At 38.5% G+C, this 22,657-nt stretch overlaps 1 protein-coding gene across 11 annotated transcripts in view; it reads right to left on the bottom strand.

Annotated features, from left to right (window-relative positions):
- Nucleotides 1-22,657, bottom strand: part of UNC13B (unc-13 homolog B) — a 243,327-nt gene that overhangs the window by 153,095 nt on the left and 67,575 nt on the right. For all 11 annotated transcript variants that reach the window (NR_170667.1, NM_001387551.1, NM_001371189.2 and 8 more), the window contains exons 3-6: nucleotides 21,022-21,121; nucleotides 15,655-15,772; nucleotides 14,415-14,538; nucleotides 8,877-8,950 (exon numbers count right to left, since the gene is read on the bottom strand). Coding sequence is in view for 10 of the 11 variants with exons in the window: in NM_001387551.1 (NP_001374480.1) it covers nucleotides 8,877-8,950; nucleotides 14,415-14,538; nucleotides 15,655-15,772; nucleotides 21,022-21,121 (416 nt within the window). In the remaining variant the exon portion in view is untranslated. The remainder of the gene's footprint in view (nucleotides 1-8,876; nucleotides 8,951-14,414; nucleotides 14,539-15,654; nucleotides 15,773-21,021; nucleotides 21,122-22,657) is intronic.

Raw genomic sequence — 22,657 nt, 5'->3', positions numbered from 1 at the left:
TCATAATGAATGAAATGGGCTGACAATACTTGAATCCACTGTTGAATTTTAACATCACCTCTATCACAAAAATGAACTATAACCTAATCTTCAAACTAATAGATGCACTTTTCAGTTTAAAGGAAATAAGAGAGATAAAGGAACATGGTAAATAAAACCTGGGGACACAATCAGCAAAATCCAGAATGTGCAGAAGTCTACAAAACAGATGAGGGAAAGTGAATGATTTTACAGCTAAGATGATTCAAGGAGCTGAGCTTGGTGTCCCATGCTTGTAAACTCAGCACTTTGGGAGGCCAAGGCGGGCAGATCGCTTGAGCCCAGAAGTTTGCGACCAGCCTGGGCAAATGGTGAAACACCATCTCTACAAAAAATACAAAAATAAAATAAAGTAAAATGATTTAAGAGACATGACAGCCAAATGGGCACATCTTATCTGGCTCTTGAAATGAAAAAATCAACTATGAAAACACATCTTCTAGATAATAAAGAAAATTGAAAAGACTAGGTATTGGATGACACTAAGAAATTATTAAGTTCAGTGTGATAATGGCATTGTGGTTTTTTTTTAAAAAAAAGTATTATCTGTTAGAGATCTATATTGATATATTTATGGGTGAGACAAGATAATACCTAGGATTGTTTTTTGTTTTTGATAGGGAATCTCGCTCTGTCACTCAGCCTGGAGTGCAGTGATGTGATCTCGGCTCACTGTAGCCTCTGCCTCCTAGGTTCAAGTGATTCTCCTGCCTCAGCCTCCCAAGTAGGTGGGAATACAGGTTCCCACCACCACGCCAAGCTAATTTTTGTATTTTTAGTAGAGACGGGTTTTCACCATGTTGGTCAGGCTGGTCTTGAAATCCTGACCTCAAGTGGTCTGACCACCTCGGCCCCCCCAGAGTGCTGGGATTACTGGCATGAGCCAACACACCCGGCTGGATTGGTTTTAAAATACTCCAGCAAAAAATGGAAGAGTAGGCCGGGCGCGGTGACTCACGCCTGTAATCCCAGCACTTTGGGAGGCCGAGGCGGGCGGATCACGAGGTCAGAGGATCGAGACCGTCCTGGCTAACACGGTGAAACCCTGTCTCTACTAAAAGATACAAAAAAATTAGCCGGGTGCGGTGGCGGGTGCCAGTAGTCCCAGCTACTCCGGAGGCTGAGGCAGGAGAATGGCATGAACCCGGGAGGTGGAGCTTGCAGTGAGCAGAGATCGCGCCACTGCACTCCAGCCTGGGCAACAGAGTGAGATTCCTTCTCAAAAAAAAAAAAAAAAAAAAAAAGGAAGAGTAACTCTACATTTTTTCATGCTTCAAAATTTCCATAATAAAAAAGTTTTTAAATGGAATAGCAACCAAAATGAGAGACCACTTCATACATGCTAAGAATCGAAGAATGGATATAATAAAAAAGATAATAACAAGTGTTGACAAGAATATGAAGAAATTGAAACCCTTATACACTGCTGGTAGGAGTATAAAATGTCATAGCCACTTTGGAAAATAGGCTGGCAGTCTATCAGTTAAATGCAGAGTTACCATGTGATCTAGCAATTCCACTCCCAAGTCATACGCAAGAGAAGTGAAAACATATGTCCACACAACATTTTGTATATAAACATTCGAAGCAGCATTATCCATAACAGCTAACAAGCAGAGAAACAACCCAACTGTCCATCAACTAATGAATGAATTTAAAATGTACTACATCCATACAATGGAATGTTATTTGGCAATAAAAAGGAATTTATTTACATGGTAAAACAAGAATGAAACCTTGAAAACATTATGCTAAGTGAAAGAAAACAAAGGACCACATGTTATATAATTTCATTTATATGAAATGCACAGAATAGGTCCATAGAGACAGAAGGTTGATTAGTGGTTGTATAGGGCTGAGGAGGATAGGGAAGAATGGAGACTGATGACTAAGGGCACAGGGTTTCTTTACGGGGCAATGAAAATATTCAAAATTGTGGTGATATCCATGGGCACAACTATGAAGCTAGTAAAAGCCACTGAATTGTAAGCTTTAAATGAGTGAACTGTATGGTATATATAAATTATATTTCAACAAAGCTGCTAAAAAGATAAACAGCACAGTGGAAGAAAGACGAAAGATAAAAACTTAGTGAATGCCATACCCTAGAATAAAAACAGAAGGCAAAAATCTGATTTGGAGTTGTGGTGATATCCATAGGGCACAACTATGAAGATACTGAAAGCCACCGAATTGTAAGCTTTAGATGAGTGAACTGTACAGTATATAAAAATTATATTTCAATAAAACTGCTAAAAAGATAAACAGCACAGTGGAAGAGAGGATGAAAGATGAAAATGTAGTGAGTGCCATACCCTAGAATAAAAACAGAAAGCAACAAAGATACTCCTCGAGAAGAGCAACTCCAAGACACATAATTGTCAGATTCACCAAAGTTGAAATGAAGGAAATAATGTTAAGGGCAGCCAGAGAGAAAGGTCGGGTTACCCACAAAGGGAAGCCCATCAGACTAACAGTGGATCTCTCGGCAGAAACTCTGCAAGCCAGAAGAGAGTGGGGGCCAATATTCAACATTCTTAAAGAAAAGAATTTTCAACCAGAATTTCATATCCAGCCAAACTAAGCTTCATAAGTGAAGGAGAAATAAAATACTTTACAGACAAGCAAATGCTGAGAGATTTTGTCACCACCAGGCATGCCCTACAAGAGCTCCTGAAGGAAGCACTAAACATGGAAAGGAACAACCGGTACCAGCCACTGCAAAAACATGCTAAATTGTAAGGACCATCGATGCTAGGAAGAAACTGCATCAACTAACGAGCAAACTAACCAGCTAACATCATAATGACAGGATCAAATTCACAAGTAACAATATTAACCTTAAATGTAAATGGGCTAAATGCTCCAATTAAAAGACACAGACTGGCAAATTGGATAAAGAGTCAAGACTCATCAATGTGCTGTACTCAGGAAGCCCGTCGCATGTGCAGAGACACACATAGACTCAAAATAAAGGGATGGAGGAAGATCTACCAAGCAAAAGGAAAACAAAAAAAGGCAGGGGTTGCAATCCTAGTCTCTGATAAAACAGACTTTAAACCAACAAAGATCAAAAGAGACAAAGAAGGCCATTACATAATGGGAAAGGGATCAATTCAACAAGAAGAGCTAACTATCTTAAATATACATGCACCCAATACAGGAGCACCCAGATTCATAAAGCAAGTCCTTAGAGACCTACAAAGAGACTTAGACTCCTACACAATAATAATGGGAGACTTTAACACCCACTGTCAACAATAGACAGCTCAACGAGACAGAAAGTTAACAAGGATATCCAGGAATTGAACTCAGCTCTGCACCAAGCAGATCTAATAGACATCTACAGAACTCTCCACCCCAAATCAACAGAATATACATTCTCCTCAGCACCACACCGCACTTACTCTAAAATTGACCACATAGTTGGAAGTAAAGCATTCCTCAGCAAATGTAAAAGAACAGAAATTATAACAAACTGTCTCTCAGACCACAGTGCAATCAAACTAGAACTCAGGAGTAATAAACTCATTCAAAACCGCTCAACTACATGGAAACTCAACAACCTGCTCCTGAATGACTACTGGGTACATAATGAAATGAAGGCAGAAATAAAGATGTTCTTTGAAACCAACGAGAACAAAGACACAACGAACCAGAATCTCTGGGACACATTCAAAGCAATGTGTAGAGGGAAATTTATAGCACTAAATGGCCACAAGAGAAAGCAGGAAAGATCTAAAATTCACACCCTAACATCACAATTAAAAGGACTAGAGAAGCAAGAGCAAACACATTCAAAAGCTAGCAGAAGGCAAGAAATAACTAAGAACAGAGCAGAACTGAAGGACATAGAGACACAAAAAACCCTTCAAAAAAATCAATGAATCCAGGAGCTGGTTTTTTGAAAAAATCAACAAAATTGATAGACTGCTAGCAAGACTAATAAAGAAGAAAAGAGAGAAGAATCAAATAGACACAGTAAAAAATGATAAAGGAGATATCACCACTGATCCCACAGAAATACAAACTACCATCAGAGAATACTATAAACACCTCTACGCAAATAAACTAGAAAATCTAGAAGAAAAGGATAAATTCCTCGACACATACACCATTCCAAGAATGAACCAGGAAGAAGTTGAATCTCTGAATAGACCAATAACAGGCTTTGAAATTGAGGCAATAATTAATAGCTTACCAACCAAAAAAAGTCCAGGACCAGACAGATTCACAGCCGAATTCTACCAGAGGTACAAGGAGGAGCTGGTACCATTCCTTCTGAAACTATTCCAATCAATAGAAAAAGAGGGAATCCTCCCTAACTCATTTTATGAGGCCAGCATCATCCTGATACCAAAGCCTGGCAGAGACACAACAAAAAGAGAGAATTTTAGACCAATATCCCTGATGAACATTGACGCAAAAATCCTTAATAAAATACTGACAAACTGAATCCAGCAGCACATCAAAAAGCTTATCCACCATGATTAAGTGGGCTTCATCCCTGGGATGCAAGACTGGTTCAACATACACAAATCAATAAATCTAATTCAGCATATAAACAGAACCAAAGACAAAAACCACATGATTATCTCAATAGATGCAGAAAAGGTCTTTGACAAAATTGAACAGCCCTTCATGCTAAAAACTCTCAATAAATTAGGTACTGATGGGACGTATCTCAAAATAATAAGAGCTATCTATGACAAACCCACAGCCAATATCATACTGAATGGGCAAAAACTGGAAGCATTCCCTTTGAAAACTGGCACAAGACAGGGATGCCCTCTCTCACCACTCCTATTCAACATAGCGTTGGAAGTTCTGGCCAGGGCAATCAGGCAGGACAAAGAAATAAAGGGTATTCAATTAGAAAAAGAGGAAATCAAATTGTCCCTGTTTGCAGATGACATGATTGTATATCTAGAAAACCCCACTGTCTCAGCCCAAAATCTCCTTAAGCTGATAAGCAACTTCAGCAAAGTCTCAGGATACAAAATCAATGTGCAAAAATCACAAGCATTCCTGTACACCAATAACAGACAAACAGAGAGCCAAATCATGAGTGAACTCCCATTCACAGTTGCTTCAAAGAGAATAAAATACCTAGGAATCCAACTTACAAGGGATGTGAAGGACCTCTTCAAGGAGAACTACAAACCACTGCTCAACAAAATAAAAAAGGATATAAACAAATGGAAGAACATTCCATGCTCATGAATAGGAAGAATCAATATCATGAAAATGGCCATACTGCCCAAGGTAATTTATAGATTCAATGCCATCCCCCCATCAAGCTACCAATGACTTTCTTCACAGAATTGGAAAAAACTACTTTAAAGTTCATATGGAACCAAAAAAGAGCCCACATTGCCAAGTCAATCCTAAGCCAAAAGAACAAAGCTGGAGGCATCATGCTACCTGACTTCAAACTATATTACAAGGCTACGGTAATTAAAACAGCATGGTACTGGTACCAAAACAGAGATATAGATCAATGGAACAAAACAGAGCCCTCAGAAGTAATACCACACATCTACAACCATCTGATCTTTGACAAACCTGACAAACACAAGAAATGGGAAAAGGATTCCCTATTCAACAAATGGTGCTGGGAAAACTGGCTAGCCATATGTAGAAAGCTGAAACTGGATCCCTTCCTTACACCTTATACAAAAATTAATTCAAGATGGATTAAAGACTTAAATGTTAGACCTAAAATCATAAAAACCCTAGAAGAAAACCTAGGCGATACCATTCAGGACATAGGCATGGGCAAGGACTTCATGACTAAAACACCAAAAGCAATAGCAACAAAAGCCAAAATTGACAAATGGGATCTAATTAAACTAAAGAGCTTCTGCACAGCAAAAGAAACTACCATCAGAGTCAACAGGCAACCTACAGAATGGGAGAAAATTTTTGCAATCTACTCCTCTGACAAAGGGCTAATATCCAGAATCTACAATGAACTCAAACAAATTTACAAGAAAAAAAAAACAACCCCATCAACAAGTGGGCAAAGGACATGAACAGGCACTTCTCAAAAGAAGACATTTATGCAGCCAACAGACACATGAAAAAATGCTCATCATCACTGGCCATCAGAGAAATGCAAATCAAAACCACAATGACATACCATCTCACACCAGTTAGAATGGCGATCATTAAAAAGTCAGGAAACAACAGGTGCTGGAGAGGATGTGGAGAAATAGGAACACTTTTACACTGTTGGTGGGACTGGAAACTGGTTCAACCATTGTGGAATACAGTGTGGCGATTCCTCAGGGATCTAGAACTAGAAATACCATCTGACTCAGCCATCCCATTACTGGGTATAGACCCAAAGGATTATAAATCATGCTGCTATAAAGACACATGCATGCGTATGTTTATTGCGGCACTATTCACAATAGCAAAGACCTGGAACCAACCCAAATGTCCAACAATGATAGACTGGATTAAGAAAATGTGGCACATATACACCATGGAATACTATACAGCCATAAAAAATGATGAGTTCATGTCCTTTGTAGGGACATGGATGAAGCTGGAAACCATCATTCTCAGCAAACTATCACCAAGGACAAAAAACCAAACATCGCATGTTCTCACTCACAGGTGGGAATTGAACAATGAGAACACTTGGACACAGGAAGGGGAACATCACACACTGGGGCCTGTTGTGGGGTGGGGGGAGGGGGGGAGGGATAGCATTAGGAGATATACCTAATGTAAATGACGAGTTAATGGGTGCAGCACACCAACATGGCACATGTATACATATGTAACAAACCTGCACATTGTGCACATGTACCCTAAAACTTAAAGTATAAAAATAATAAAATTAAAAAAAAAAAACAGAAAGCAAAAATCTGATATGCAGTTGGGAACCACAGACCAAGAACCATTATTATTAGAACTTATAAAATTCCACAATTTTTGTATAAGTTATATTTGGTTTTTAAATTGTTTTAATCCCTTCTTCTGATTCTGTATAATGACACAGAGCAAAGCCTATAAAACGAAAAGTACAACATGCTTCTTTACTAGGAAAACAAAGATGATGGCAGTCTGAAAGGCTGAATACCACTCCACAGCCAGGCTTGGGAAGAACGAAAACACAAAGTAAAGTACATGCAAAGATAGCACAAATGCTCAGAGTTACTAAGTGGAGAAAGAGGACTGGAGCTTTCAACAATGAAGAAAAGTTAGGATGTTGGTGTGGACATGAGAAGAGTTATACAGCTTAATAACAGAAAGCCTACCAAGAATAAAGGAGGTAACGGAAAACCCTGAAAAGAGTAGATGTTGCTTGTCCCAAATGCCATTTCTTCATCTTTCATTTAACTCACTGTGGGTTGAACTATGTCCTAAAAGATATGTTAGACTTCTAACCCTAAGTATCTGTGAATATGACCTTATTTGGAAACAAGGTCTCTGCAGATATAATCAAATTAATTCAATGACTGTTGTTCTTACAAGAAAAATGGAAATTTAGACACAGACACACAGAGACAGGAGAATGCATTGTGAAGACACAGACAGACACACAGGGAGGCACATTACAACAGAGGCAGAGATTAGAATGATACATCTACAAGCTAAGGAACAGCAAGGACTGCCAGCAACCATCAGAGGCAGAAGAGTACAGGATGCTTCCTCCTTCAGAGCCTCTAGACGGAGCTGAACTGATCCTGCTGACAGCCTAATTTCAGACTTCCAGTCTACAGAACTGTGTGAAAACAAATTTTGGTTGCTGTAAGCCACCTAGTTTGTGGTACTTTGTGATGGCAGCTGTAGGAAACAAATACAGTCATCAAACCACTGCATTTTGGCTTTCTGTACTAGTCTATGGATGTATACTCGTCATCAATCACCAAATCCAATAGCTCTATTTCATAATTCACTTGATTTAACATGTGATACTGTCAAGAATTTCTGCCTTGAATCTCTTTTTTTCTTTGTTCCATTAATCTTTCCTGGTTATCTTATTCTCTCTCTTTAAGGTTGCCCTTTCTCAGTCTCCTTTGTTTCTCAGAATTCTATGTCTAAGGTTTCCCAAGATTTTGTTCCTGTTCTTTAATACTGTCTCCATACGCTCTACCTGAGCAAGTTTTTCCATTCCTATGACTTCAATTGTTACTAATATATTAATGAAGCTCTATGCCTACAGCTCCCTACCCATTCAAACCTCAACTTCAAATTATCTCATGAAATTGTTTATCAACAATTTCTGCTGAAATATCCTCTGGCACTCAAAGTATATCTTATAATCAGACCCATTTTTTAGTAGCCCACATGTCCAAAATAAACAAATTTATCATCTTTTCCCTCCATCAGCAATAACAAAAACATTCTCCAATCCTGATGCCCCAGGTTGAGCTGAATGCATTCTCTTATACACACCAGCCTCATCTCTGGAGGTAAGTTAGGACCAGCAAGAACAAACAATGCAATAGTCTAAACATCCTCAAAAACAGGACACAAATAAGAATAATATCCAAAAAACTGAGAGACAGTAGAAGCAAAAGAAATGCCTCCAACTCACAGGTGTAACAAAAGAGGACAGATTCCCTGGTACAAGCTCCCTCTCTAAGAGTCTACAGCCAGACTAGTACCACAGTATGGGAGAGTGGGAAGAACAGAATAAATTGGAGATGGAACCTTCTAGTGACATTTCAGGCAATCTTCTAGCTGCCTTTTTTCTTCAATGCAATTTAAGTGATTTCATTCTCAGGACAACATGCTCTTGGGCCCCTCCCTGGGCAACCTATAAAGAGCATTGGAGATTTTCCCCCATCTCTCTATACTGCAAATAAGGCTGCTCCTACCTCATTGTCAGCTCCCAAGGCATTGATTTGCTCCCATTTGTAGGTCCAATATCTGGCTTCCTCCTCTGGGATATCTACCATAAAAAAAAGAAGAAAAAGAAAAGAAATCACATCAGCAGGTAATAAATCATCAGCAGATAACACTTTACTCTGTCTAATGACTGAAGTCAGAAGGTGGTAGTGATGCACAAGTTTTAACTGATGGTTTGGTTCTTGTCATGAACATTATCTTTACTCTTCACAAAAACCAATACAATGTACTGTTATTCCCATTGTTATTTTGTAGATGAAGAAGCTGAAGCTCAGAGAGCTAAAATAATCTGGTCAGGGTCACAGTTTATAAAGAGATGAGCCATGATTCAAACCATGGTTTGTATGATTCCAAAAACTACATTCTTTCTATGTAACCATACTACCTTCCCCTCAGCAAGACCAAAACCATCCAAAGGATTAGCTTAAAAGAAAAGTTATATGCTGAGATATTGAGATGCTCAAAATTCAAAGGTTTTCTCCCAAAAAAATTAAAAGTAGAATTACCATGTGACATAGTTCTCCCACTTTGGATTATATATACGAAAGAGGTGAAAGCAGGATCTCAAAGAGATATGTGCACACCCAAGTTCCTAGTAGCATTATTCACAATAGCCAAGAGTTGAAGCAACCCAAGTGTCCACTAATGGATGAAAGGATTAACAAAATGAGAGATTTACATACAACGGAGCATTATTCAGCCTTAAAAGGAAGAAAATCCTGCCACATGCCATAACATGGATAAACTTTGAGGACATTACACTAAATGAAATGAGTCCATCACAAAAAAGACAAATACTGTATGATTTCACTTCTCTAAGGTAACTAAAGTAGTCAAATTCACAGAAAAGAAAGAATGGTCGTTGCCAGTGGCTGTGGGGAGGGGGAAATGAGAAGTTGTTTGATGGAGACAGAGTTTTAGTTTTGCAAGGTGAAAAAGTTCTGGATATCTGTTGCACAACAATGTGAATGTACTTAACACTAGTGAACTGTACACTTAAAAATGGTTAAGATGCTAAATTTTCAGTTATGTCTCTTACCACAATTAAAAATTTTTTAAAAGAAGCTATTAAAAAATACTCACAGGTTTTATGCCTGGAAAATATTAGATGCTCAAATATTTGTTAAGTGAGTCTCTAAGTGAAAATATTTGAATTCTTAAAAAATAATGGTATAATGGTATATCCTCATTCCTAAACATTTTACATTGACTATAACAACTTCTCCCCAAAACTCACCTTTTAAAAACATCAAGTATGACCATCTAACCAGCACTGAAGAGAAACACTCAGGCAATATATGGATCATATCAACTTCAGAGACATTTCAACAGATACACTTTCTAGTAGCCACATGAATAAAGCAAATATAGCCCTTTCCTTTCTCCTTGGTTCCACCTGTCCAAAACTTCAGCTCCTTCCCTTCAACTAGCTCTTTAACAACTGGTAGCAATATTTCAAAGTCTTATTTAAAAACACTTACACACACCTTCAAATAGTCTACAACGTAATTTGTATAGTGCTTTCTCATCCATATGGTACACCCATAAAATGGTATACTATGCACCTGTTACAAAGAAGGAGAGTGGGAAGTGCAAGGTGGCAGAGGAGCTGCTGCTGCTGCAGGTCTATATGCTCTGATGTGGGATGATTCACCAAGATATACTAAGTGCAAAACAGCAAGGCACAGGGAATGTGTTAGAATATGCTACTATTTGCGTTTTAAAAAGAAGATGGTGGTGTGTGTGTGTGTGTGTGTGTGTGTGTGTGTGTGTGTGCTTATATTCAGAAACTGACTCTGGAAAGATACACAAGAAAGTATTAATAGTGGTAGCCTATAGGAAGAAAATGGATTTCTGAAGGGACTTTTCACTGGATAACTTTTTAAACCATTATTAATTTATTCCTGCCTCATTCCACAAAAATAGTTTTAAGAAGAAAAAAATACAGAGAGATACAAGCATGTTTATTGCAGTGCTATTTATAACAGTACAAACTTCAAACAATCAAAATACCCAACAGGAAGTGGTTAAATGTATTATACAAATAGTTAAAATTAAAAGCCCAGGCTCTAGAGTCAGACCATGGCCAAAATACTTAAATACTCTCTGCCATAGTTTGCTTATCTCTAAAGTGGGGAATAATAGTTGGGCCTGCCTCAAAGGACTGAAATGAGGATTACTGAGCTAACATATGTAAATACTTAGTGACATGCCCACCAACACACAATAATTCACCATAAATGTTACTTTGTTATTACTGATTTTTTTTTTTTTTTTGAGACAGAGTCTTGCTCTATCACCTAGGCTGGAGAGCAGTGGTGGAATCTCAGCTCACTGCAACCTCCATGCCTCCTGGGTTCAAGTGATTCTCCTGCCTCAGCCTCCTAAGTAGCTGAGATTACAGGCGCACGACACCTTGCCCAGCTAATTTTTTGTATTTTTAGTAGAAATGGGGTTTCACCATGTTGGTCAGGCTGGTCTTGAACTCCTGACCTCATGATCCACCCACCTCAGCCTCCCAAAATGCTGGGATTACAGGTGTGAGCCACCATGCCAGGCCCTGATTTTTAAATAAAATCAACTACTAAAAGTAGAAGAATAATGTCTATTTTATATAACATTTGTAACTATGTAATTAGTGAGTGAAATCAGTCAAAAAGTAATACAACATTAAAAAAACAACGATTTAAAGTCTCTGGAAATGGTTCTAAGTGCATACAGCAAAAGAAAAAACATTTATTCAAGAATATCTACTAAAATTTGGTGAAAATGGTCAATATCTGTGGTATTTGAACCAAGACCCACTCCCTCCAATTGATTTTCCCTTCACTTGCAGCTTGGTCTACAGTCCCACAAGAAAGACTTCCTTTCTATTTTTCTGAAATAATAGTTGTTCTGAGTTTAGTTCTTTCTGAGCTAGCTGGAAAATCATGTCATTTTTGCTTAAATCACCATAGGATACAAGATACAAATACACTGAGATCATAAAATGACAGCAATAACAATAGAATATGCAAATATCAATAATATGAACAGTAAAAAATTAAAATAAAACTAATAGAAATCAACTAAACTAAAACAAGATACTGTTGCGGGAAGTCAGGGACCCTGAACAGAGGGACAGGCTGAAGCCATGGCAGAAGAACATAAATTGTGAAGATTTCATGGACATTTATTAGTTCCCCAAATTAATACTTTTATAATTTCTTAAGCCTGTCTTTACTGCAATCTCTGAACATAAATTGTGAAGATTTCATGGACACTTATCACTTCCCCAATCAATACTCGAGATTTCCTATGCCTGTCTTTACTTTAATCTCTTAATCCCGTCATCTTTGTAAGCTGAGGTTGAATGTGGCCTCAGGACCCTGTGAGGATTGTGTTAACTGCACAAATTGTTTAAATAATATGAAATCTGGGCACCTTGAAAAAAGAACAGGATAACAGCGATGTTCAGGGAAAAAGAGAGATAACCTTGAAGTCTGGCTGCCTGTGGGCCGGGCGGAACAGAGCCATATTTCTCTTCTTTCAAAAGCAAACAGGAGAAATATTGCTGAATTCTTTTTCTCAGCAAGGAACATCCCTGAGAAAGAGAATGTGTCCCTAAGGGGAGGCCTCTGAAATGGCTGCTTTGGGGACGTCTGTCTTTTACGGTTGTAGATAAGGGATGAAATAAGCCCTGGTCTCCTGTAGTGCTCCCAGGCTTATTAGGACAAGGAAATTCCTGCCTAATAAATTTTGGTCAGACCAGTTGTCTGCTCTCAAAGCCTGTCTCCTGATAAAATGTTATCAATGACAATGCATGCCCGAAACTTCATTAGCAATTTTAATTTCGCCCCAGTCCTGTGATCTCGCTCTGCCTCCATTTACCTTGTGATATTTTATTACCTTGTGAAGCATGTGATCTCTGTGACCCACACCCTATTCGTACACTCCCTCCTCTTTTGAGAATCACCAATAAAAACTTGCTGGTTTTGTGGCTTGGGGGGCATCACAGAACCTGCCGACATGTGACGTCTCCCCTGGACACCCAGCTTTAAAATTTCCCTCTTTTGTACTCTTTCCCTTTATTTCTTAGACCGGCCAACACTTAGGAAAAATGGAAAAGGACCCACGTGAAATATCGGGGGCTGAATTTCCCCTGATAAGATATCATACAAAATAATCAAATAAAGATTAACCATTGGGAAACACAAAAGACTGCCAAGGATGTGCAGAAACAGGCACTCCCCAGATATAATTTATAAGAGTATAAATTGGTATAACCTTTTGGACAAGGAACTTAGTAGATTCCATAAAAAGTAATGATGTACTTATACTTTGATCCAGCAATTCTACTTTAAGAAATTTATTCTAGACTCAAAATGGGCAAAGATATACAGAGTTATTAGTTTGCGGTATATAACATCAAAAAAAAAAAAAAATGAAAAAACCCACCTGTCAATCAATAAAGGATTACTTAAATAAATTATGGTAGGCCAGGCATGGTGGCTCACGCTTGTAATTCCAGCACTTTAGGAAGCAGAGGTGGGCGGATCGTTTGAGGTCAGGAGTTCAAGACCAGCCTGACCAACATGGTGAAACCCTGTCTCTACTAAAAATTACAAAAAATTAGCCAGGTGTGGTAGCACAAGCCTGTAATCTCAGTGACTCAGGAGGCTGAGACATGAGAATTACTTGAACCCAGGAGGCAGAGGTTGCAGTGAGCCAAGATCATGCCACTGCCCTAAAGCCTGGGCAGAGCAAGACTCCATCTCAAAAAAAGGAAAAAAAAAAAAAAGATAAATTATGGTAGAGGCATCTGTTCAGATGAATAAGACAGATCTTAAAGTATAACATGGAGCGATGTTCAGGATAAATGTCTAAGCAGTTTGTAAAACACTATATATCAGCAAATAAATATTACATAGGGTATGATCCAAATTTTGCCAAAATAAGTTTTTGGAAAATAAATATCATGTGTCTAAACCAAAATACAAGAATGTTAACAGTGGTTTCACACTGGAGAATGCAGAGAAGATTAAAGGAACTGGGAAAATAAACTTTTAACTTTATCCATGTACATTTCCTTACTATTTGAATTTTTATCATGAGCATGTATTGTGATTTAATTTACATTTTAAATTATTATTCTATTTATCAGTGCTATTTAATACTTAAATTAACAAATCAGAAGGTATATATAGTCACTTCAAGACAATAAATGTTTATTTTCAAAATAATAAATCTAACAAGCAAATATTTCATAAGTCATTATAATAAATAGTCACAGAAAATTAAATGAGTTGAAGAGAATGCTTTTTAGTGTAGATTCTTTAATGAGCACTATTCTATATTCTACTTTGCACCATTCCCTGGGTGAAGTGTTATGAGAAAGAGAGTGAATGAAGACAAAATATCCTCAAAGGAGATGGCTGAGGTGACAAAATATACATTAATGAAACAACTAGCAAACAATTCCAAACAATATGGTAAAAATTATTAAATAGTTTTAAAATTTTACTCACCAAAAGGCAACTCAAATCTTGTATCAAGCAAAATTTTATGAGGAGTTGGGTTTCTAGTTCCACAGATCTCATCGTCTTTCATTAACGTCTCTGCCTCTAATGTGGACCATTCCCCAGGCCCTTCCTAGGAAACAAAGATCTAAGATTAAAGTTTAATCTTTCTTGGCTCCCTCTTAGTTCAAGAGTCAGGTTTTTTTCTCTGAAGTTCCTTGTTTGAGCTTCTGAGGGCCATTCACATCCTGATAAGGCAAACACACCACTATCACCACCTGCCTCCACTGCATGTGGCTTCTGTTTTCCCTCTTTGGTGGGGAGAGCAGCTTTCACTGTGCTCAGCTCTGCAGGTCTAACGAGGACAGAATGTCTGGAGTACCATACTCTAAAACTAAGTACCTCTGTGGATCAATATTTAACCTGCACAGTTCTTAATGACTGTGTCACTGTTTCTAGTCAGTAAAAAGCTACTAACATTGCTGGCTAAATAGGATTGAACTGGGGCAGCAATGAAAATGAACTGCCCATCTGCCTGGGGAGTAGAGACTTAGCTAGAACTAAAAGAAATACAGAAAATACAGGCAATTTCAACTTCCCCACTCCCAGAGAAAACTCATGGTCCATGTTAACACCAAACAGGAATATAACAGATTTTGTCCAGGTCCAAAGTGGGGAAATGATGCTGAGTTATGGTCTAGTCTAGGAAAGTGAGGCAAGAGTTCAATCCTAGAAATAACGTATAGAGACAGTGTGAATACAAATTGCCAAGCCTGGTAGTTCCTTAAACTCTGTCAGGCTTACATGCAGAAGAAGGGCACTGAAAACTAGTTCCTTGGAGATTGGTAACTCAAAGAAACAAAGCAGAGAATAGCCAGCCAGCTGGCTAAGGAAGTTTAATGGGACTCCTCCCAGGGCAGTGACTTAGAAGAGAACACAGAAACCACAAGTACCCTAAGTAAACACACACACCGACACACACATACCTCAGAAGGGGCTATCTACCTGATAAGGCTGAAGAGGTGCTCTGGAGCCTGTGAGTTGTCACAGGACACAGGGTAGGCCAGACATAAATAAAATCATCTGAACCTTCAGGTGAAGTTAGGAACAGGCAGGTTGCATGCCCTCTAATTAGAAAGGGGGAAGAATAATCCAAGATGCATGGATGAATATTAGCTAAAGTGGAGCTAGCATGGGGAGAAGCATGGGCTGGGAACCATACTTCCAAACAGAAAATGCAATGACTGACCTCATCCGACTGACGAATAGTCTTCAGCGCAATCCACACAGTCCCCACCATGGTGTCCCAGATCAGTCCTTTGTTCCATACCTCCACACTTAGACCCAGGTCCAGGCGACTAATCTCACTAAGGGAAAGAGGAAAGCCCTTTGAGGAAAGCTAGACAATATGAAAGAAACAACTACATCTCCTGTTTTGCTAAACTTTGAATGCTTTCTCACCAGGATCCTGTCTTCAGGAAAAATCAAAATTTCCCAGAATGCCACGACCATTTTTAGGCTCCAAGAAACCTATAATAGGTATCCATAGAAAACTGCCTTTGTTACAGTTAAATAAGTTCCAGAGACCTGCTGCTATACCACATAGTGCCTCCAGTTAGCAATAAGGTATTGTGCACCTCAAAATTTAAGAGGGTAGATTTCATATTAAATGCTCTTAACACACACATACAACAAAAAAAAGGAGACACAAGTAAACTTTTAGAGGTGATAAATATATTTACTACCTTGATTATGGTGATGGTAACACAAGTATATAAATGTCTAAATTGTATACATTAATTATGTACAGTTTCTTATATCCCAATTAAACCTCAGTGGGGAGGGGGGGCGGGAAAAGAAAGAAAAATGCCTTTGTCTATCCATTCTTTCCGCTTTGGAGATACAATCATAATTAGACTAATGCAGTTTCACACAATATGAGGCCAAGTAATAAGGACATTATTGCCAGGCCTGCCTGCCAATTTCCACCCATAGGCAACAGTTTTATATGTTTTATTGTTAACTAACACTGCTTCAACTTAAACTACACATCGTATACAGGAAACTTTTAGGAAAGGTAAGTCTACTTTACAAGATTTATCAGGCTGGGCATGGTGGCTCAAGCCTGTAATCCCAGCACTTTGGGAGGTGCACAGATCACCTGAGGTCAGGAGTTTGAGACCAGCTTGGCCAACGTTGCAAAACCCTGTCTCTACTAAAAATACAAAAATTAGCTGGGCATGGTGGTGCACACCTGTAATCCCAGCTACTTGGGAGGCTGAGGCACAAGAATCACTTGAACCCAGGAGGCAGAGCCAAGATCACGCCACTGCACTCCAGCCTGAGTGACAGAGCCAGACTCCATCCCCACCAAAAAAGCCGGGGCGGGGCGGGGGGGATTTATGAAAGGGAGTCCAGGTAGAAGTAGGGTCCCTGAGAACATATAAGTTTGATAGGAACATGTGGTCACAGGCAAGTGAGGGGCTCTAGAGTGTGCTAGTTCACACCACTCAGTCCCTGGAGACTCATTAATCATTATTAAGCTAGGCACTGTCACTTATAAGCAAAATTATTACCATGGGATAATGATAAATACAATGATTTTCCTATAATAATAACCAGGGGAAAAAATTCGAAAAGAAATCATTCCATAAAGAGCCAGATAAGCACTATTTAAAAGCAGTATCATACATGGTTGAATATCTGCTTGGAAGGACTAACTCAAACATAATCCCAGTATTAAACTAGAATACGCAAATAGTACCTGTGTTAATGCTAAAAACGTTCTCCAGAAAGCTCTTATTGAAACACAAGGTTACTTGAGGGGTAATCCAAGAAAGATGAGAAAAGACCAATTCCAGCAGAGAAAGCAGAAAGGCATTCTCAGGAAAACAACAGCTATTTATCACAAGTAGAAGCTTCAAGTCTGTACTTTAGAGAAAGCTTGGGTTCCCTGTTGTGCTATAAAATAAATGTTCTCAGATTCACAAGTTTGAGATATAGAATGACAGCCACAGAATTCATGTCAGGTGTTGAAAATGAATAAAGCAAAGAAAATTTGTCCCTTTTATATAAATATAATACAGCATAGAATGTACTGAGTTAATTTATTCATTTAATTAGCATTTCCTGAGCACTTACAAGACATATGACTTAGTGCTTTGGAGTAGAAACATAATATAGGACTCAGTTTTTGTGTCCAAAAACTTCTAAGCTATCTGGAGAGCTGTTCAGAGCCACAAAGTAGATGAATAAGCCTAGCCACTAAGTTACAGTGTTCACAGTGGAGAAACTAAGCTTTTTGTCACATAATTTAATTCAGCCTAATTAACCAATTAGTCTTGGAAAAGATATGTGACATCCTCAAATCCATTGGACTTATCCATCATTTGAATATGGAATCGAAAAATTGCTTGGGCCAGGTGCAATGGCTCATGCCTGTAATCTCAGTATGTTGGGAGGCTGAGGTGGGAAGATCACTGGAGCCCAGGAGTTTGAGACCAGCCTGGACAACATGGCAAAACCTAGTGTCTCCCAGAAAAATTTTTTTTAATTAGCTAGACATGGTGGCATGCATCTGTAGTCCCAGTTACTCAGGAGGCTGAGGCAGGAAAATCATTTGAGCCCAGGAGATCAAGGCTGCAGTGAGCCAAGATGCTGCCACTGCACTCCAGCCTGGGCAACAGAGTGAGACCCTGTCCCACAAAATAAAGAAAAAAAGAAATTTGCTTGGGGATACATATATAATATTCCCAAATCAACTCCCAAATAGCATCTCAAGCCAACAGACAGAAGAAATAGCCAGAGGTCTTCAACAGCTTGACTTGAACAGATAAAGAAGAAAATCTGCTCTTCAGAGAACTCTCTAGGGAGAAGGCCCAAACAATGAGTATATATTCTATAAGAAGCTTCTCATCTCACCTACATTTGCTCAGCAGGTCCAGCTAAGAGAGGTCTGAGAGCTCTGTTTATGCTTCATACCCAGGACCCTAGGGAAGTTTCTTTTCTGTTAATTCAATCAACAATATACATAAACACGTGTATAGCAGACTCTGGGCTACACAAATGCACACAAATAGTGAAGATGCCCACCTTACCCTTAAGAAATGAACAATCTAATCCTAAAAACAAGATATGAAAATATTAAAAACAAATAATATAAGAAATACCAAAACGAATATTAGATACTGCCACATAATACATCATGGAGAAGGAAAAAGGAGAACGGGAGATAGGAAACCAGCACTGGAGATTCCGGTGACAAAAGGACAGGGTAGTAGACTAAGTTCTGCAAGGAGTGAACCAAAAAAAATAAGTAAATAACTAAAATAGGACAGGATAGGAGGAATAAGGAGTAGGAAGAGCAGAAAAGTAGAGAAAGTAGCTAATAAAACCCACGTGTAAAAGAAGAGGGCAAAATTCACACAGCATCTCAACGTGGGAGAGACAGGAAGAAAATTCACACATATCACAGCAGGGTCAAAAGGGGAAGTGCTATGGGAAATTGGAAAATAAACACATAAGAATAATGCTGGCTATGCTGATGAGAGGCTGCAGAAGATCACTGTGCCTCATATGATGGGAAGAGTTATAACTGGAAATTATGGTTATAGCCAACTGGAAGTGCTAGGTTTATAAACCATAGCCAGGACTATGGCTAACATACTGGTATGGAAAGAGACTTGCATAAACCATTTGTAGCTGACTCTGTACACTGCATGTGTAAAGAAGGAAACAGGTGCTCTCGGTCTCATATCACTGTCACTGAGAGAGGGAATAAATGAGGCTTATATAATCTTGAGAGAGAAGCAACCAGTGAGAAAGAAACATGACACCATTGGCCTCCTTCTCTTTGAAGCCCAGTTCTCCCTCAGCTTCCAAGACACCATTATCTCCTGGCTCTCCTACCTCTCTGTTCAATCCTTTTTAGTTCCCTCTGTCCCCTCATTAAATGCTGCCACTCTCCAGCTTCTACTCCAGTCCCTTTTCTCACCATACACATTCTCTCCCTAAGCTTTCTCATCTTCACCTATGGCTTCAACTGACCAAAATATTTCTCCAAAGCAGACTTCTTCCCTGAGTGCCAGCTTTAGGTTTCTAACTATCTTCTGTACCTCTCATCCTTCCTATCTGTCCTATAAGAATCTCAAATATAAGATTGTCCATAACTGATATTAATCCCTATCCTACTGAATGGCATACCACCCAACCCATCTTCCAAGAAAATGTTTTGGTTCTACTTCCTGAATACCTTCTATTCATCCTTTTCTACGTCTTCTGCTATTGTCCTAGCCCAAAACCTTATAATCTTTGCCTTTAACTATCACAATAATGGTCCTATAGGAAGCAATATAAGCTGGGTGCAGTGGCTAACACCTGTAATCCCACAGCTTTGGGAGGCCAAGGCGGGAAGATTGCTTGAGCCCAGGAGTTTGAGATCAGCCTGGGCAACATAGTGAAACCCCATCTTTACAAAAAATAAAAACATTAGCCAAGGTGTGATGGTACATGCTTGTAGTTTCCATTACTCAGGAGGCTAAGGCAAGAAGATCGCTCAAGCCCAGGAGTTAGAGGCTGCAGTAAACTATGATCATACCACCACACTCTAGGATGGGTGAGAGAGTGAGATCCTGCCTCAAAAAAAAAAAAAAAAAAAAAGCAGCAATATACCAAGAGCCCAGAGGATTGGAAATGTCTCCCCTTAAAAATAATAACCATCCCTATGTCCCTCTGAGCTGCACTATAAAACATGCAAATCGATTTCAGTTCAGTTTCAAATTTCACAGCAAATTTCAGTACGTTTTCTCATTCAGCCCCTTCATGCCCACCTCCAACTCCCAGAAAAAACAAGCATAATCTTCTGAGAAAGGAAGACCTTTACAGATAAGGAAACTAGTGCCCTATGAAGCTAAATGATTTGCCCAGTCCTTCAATATATTCTATACTTTTCTCCCCTTTTGTAGAACAGGAACAAAAAAATCCTGAAACTAAAGGGACAAAAGAAAGAAATAACAAGTTTTTAAAGCCAAAGTTTAATTAAAATCATAATATACTAAACTTTGTCATACACGAGAAATTCTACTAATATTTATTCATTTTAATTAATTGAATATAGGACATTTTACTCCATAAAGCAAAAGGATTATAAGCACAGAAATCTTCAGCCTCTAAAACAGATGACTGAGGTACACATGAAGATACAGTCTCTCACATGCATGGCCACATTCCTTCAAAGAGCCTTCTCAGAATCAAAGAAAGATGAAGTTATGTTTAATGTCATGCTAAGTCTGTTGTACTGTATTCTAATTCTGACCACTGAGAAAATCTGCCTATGTAGTTTTTCACCAACACAAATCAATTGGGAGTTTACCTGCATTATCATTCATCTCTAAGAACAAATTACGAATCCATGAGAAAACAAAACTGCAGTTGTGCTTCATGTACCATGAACCTCACTTATTTCTATAACTCCACAGTTTTCAAAACAGTATTTAACAGTGCCAGTACATTTTATAAATCTCAAAAATACACAAAATCTTCTAATTGTTTCATCCAATGCAATTCCCTTAAAAAGATTATAAAATATGTAGGCACACTGCTGCTGCAAAATACTTACAACATGAAATCCTGTTCCCAGGAAGGCTGATCACCACGAACTGCTACAGTTGTGCTCTTCACATTCTGTACTTTCAGGGTCACATATGTGTTAAATTTATCTTTGAAAAAATACAAAATGGAGACATAATACTTAGTGCTCAGATTGTTACCCATCTCACAAAGCCCTTGGAATTAAGCAATATAGAAATTAAAGTATTACATGTGCAGGAAAAAATTAAGCTATATTGTACAACATAGCCTCATTCAAGACATAGCAGAGTTGCCGAAATTATAAAACTACGTGCTATCTTCAAGAGCATAATCTAAAATACTATTTTTTTAATTTTAAGAAATTTTATATATGACCCAACAGATATGCATACACACACACTCAAACTGAAACAGATTCATGAATGCCAAGATATGATACATTGATATTTCCTGTTCTAATTTATTTAATCTATTACAATGTTAATCCTAACCTACTATGTTAATTATATAGCCCACTTGCCATCTGGGGGGAAAAATCCAAATCTAATTGACCTACTAGGAAAGATAAGGTACGTAAATTTAATAAAATGTAGAAAGAGATACATACCAGAAGGAAAAAAGAAAAAGTGATAAAGAACTGCAGAGCTGAGCTGTTAACAGGGACAAAAATTAAGGAAAAATCTTCACAAAGAAAATAGATTTCAAGCTCGATCTACTCAGTTTGGCCTAAAGCACAAGTTACATAAAAAGAAATCTTTTTTTTTTTTTTTTTTTTTTGAGACAGAGTCTTGCTGTGTCACCCAGACCAGGGTGCAGTGGCATGATCTTGGCTCACTGCAACCTCTACCTACCAGGTTCAAGCAATTCTCATGCCTCAGCTACCCAAGTAGCTGGGATTATAGGTGTGCGCCACCATGCCCAGCTAACTTTTGTATTTTTAGTAGAGATGGGGTTTCACCACGTTGGCCAGGCGGTCTCAAATGCCTGACCTCAAGTGATCTACCCATCTTGGCCTCCAAAAGTGCTGGGATTACAAGCATGAGCCACCAGGCCCAGCCAAAAAAAGAAATATTATCACAGAGTTGAGAAAAGGAAATTCTCTAACCTGAGAGTTGAGTACTAAACAAGTTGATTACTAAACAAAGGTGGTGGCCTGAAACTTCAAACTCAGGTGTCTCACCTAATTCTTATTACAGCACATTTGGCACTCACCTCACTACATCCACATCAGCCATGATTAGGGGCACTGAATTGAGGGTTTGCTTTTCTATGTAAGAAATTAATCCTAATGTTATACAATGAAAAAATAGCAAACTATCACTTTGACTCATCAAATTGGCAAACATTGCTTAACATGATTACCTAATGTTACAGAAGATATGAGAAAATGGAACCCGTCATACACTTTCAGCTGAAGGTAAGTCTTTCTTTTAAATATCATTTAAAATGGTGTGGTTTTATACTTATCAACATGGAAAATTTATAATTATATTAAAGATATATGAGGATAAAAGCCCATACAAGGGGAATCTCCATCCATATCCAGTAGTAGTAGTAGTGCAGTAGGCCACTGAGCTATGTTTTATATTACATTATTTTGTACTCCACCCCAACATCCAATCACACATAGCTGACCAGACCAAGAGTAAATAACCCAAGAGCAG

The sequence above is a fragment of the Homo sapiens genome, chromosome 9 (genome assembly GCF_000001405.40).
Source record: "Homo sapiens chromosome 9, GRCh38.p14 Primary Assembly".
Taxonomy (NCBI): domain Eukaryota; kingdom Metazoa; phylum Chordata; class Mammalia; order Primates; family Hominidae; genus Homo; species Homo sapiens.
Note: the sequence above shows the minus strand (reverse complement) of the source record. Positions and strands in the feature narration are given on the sequence as shown.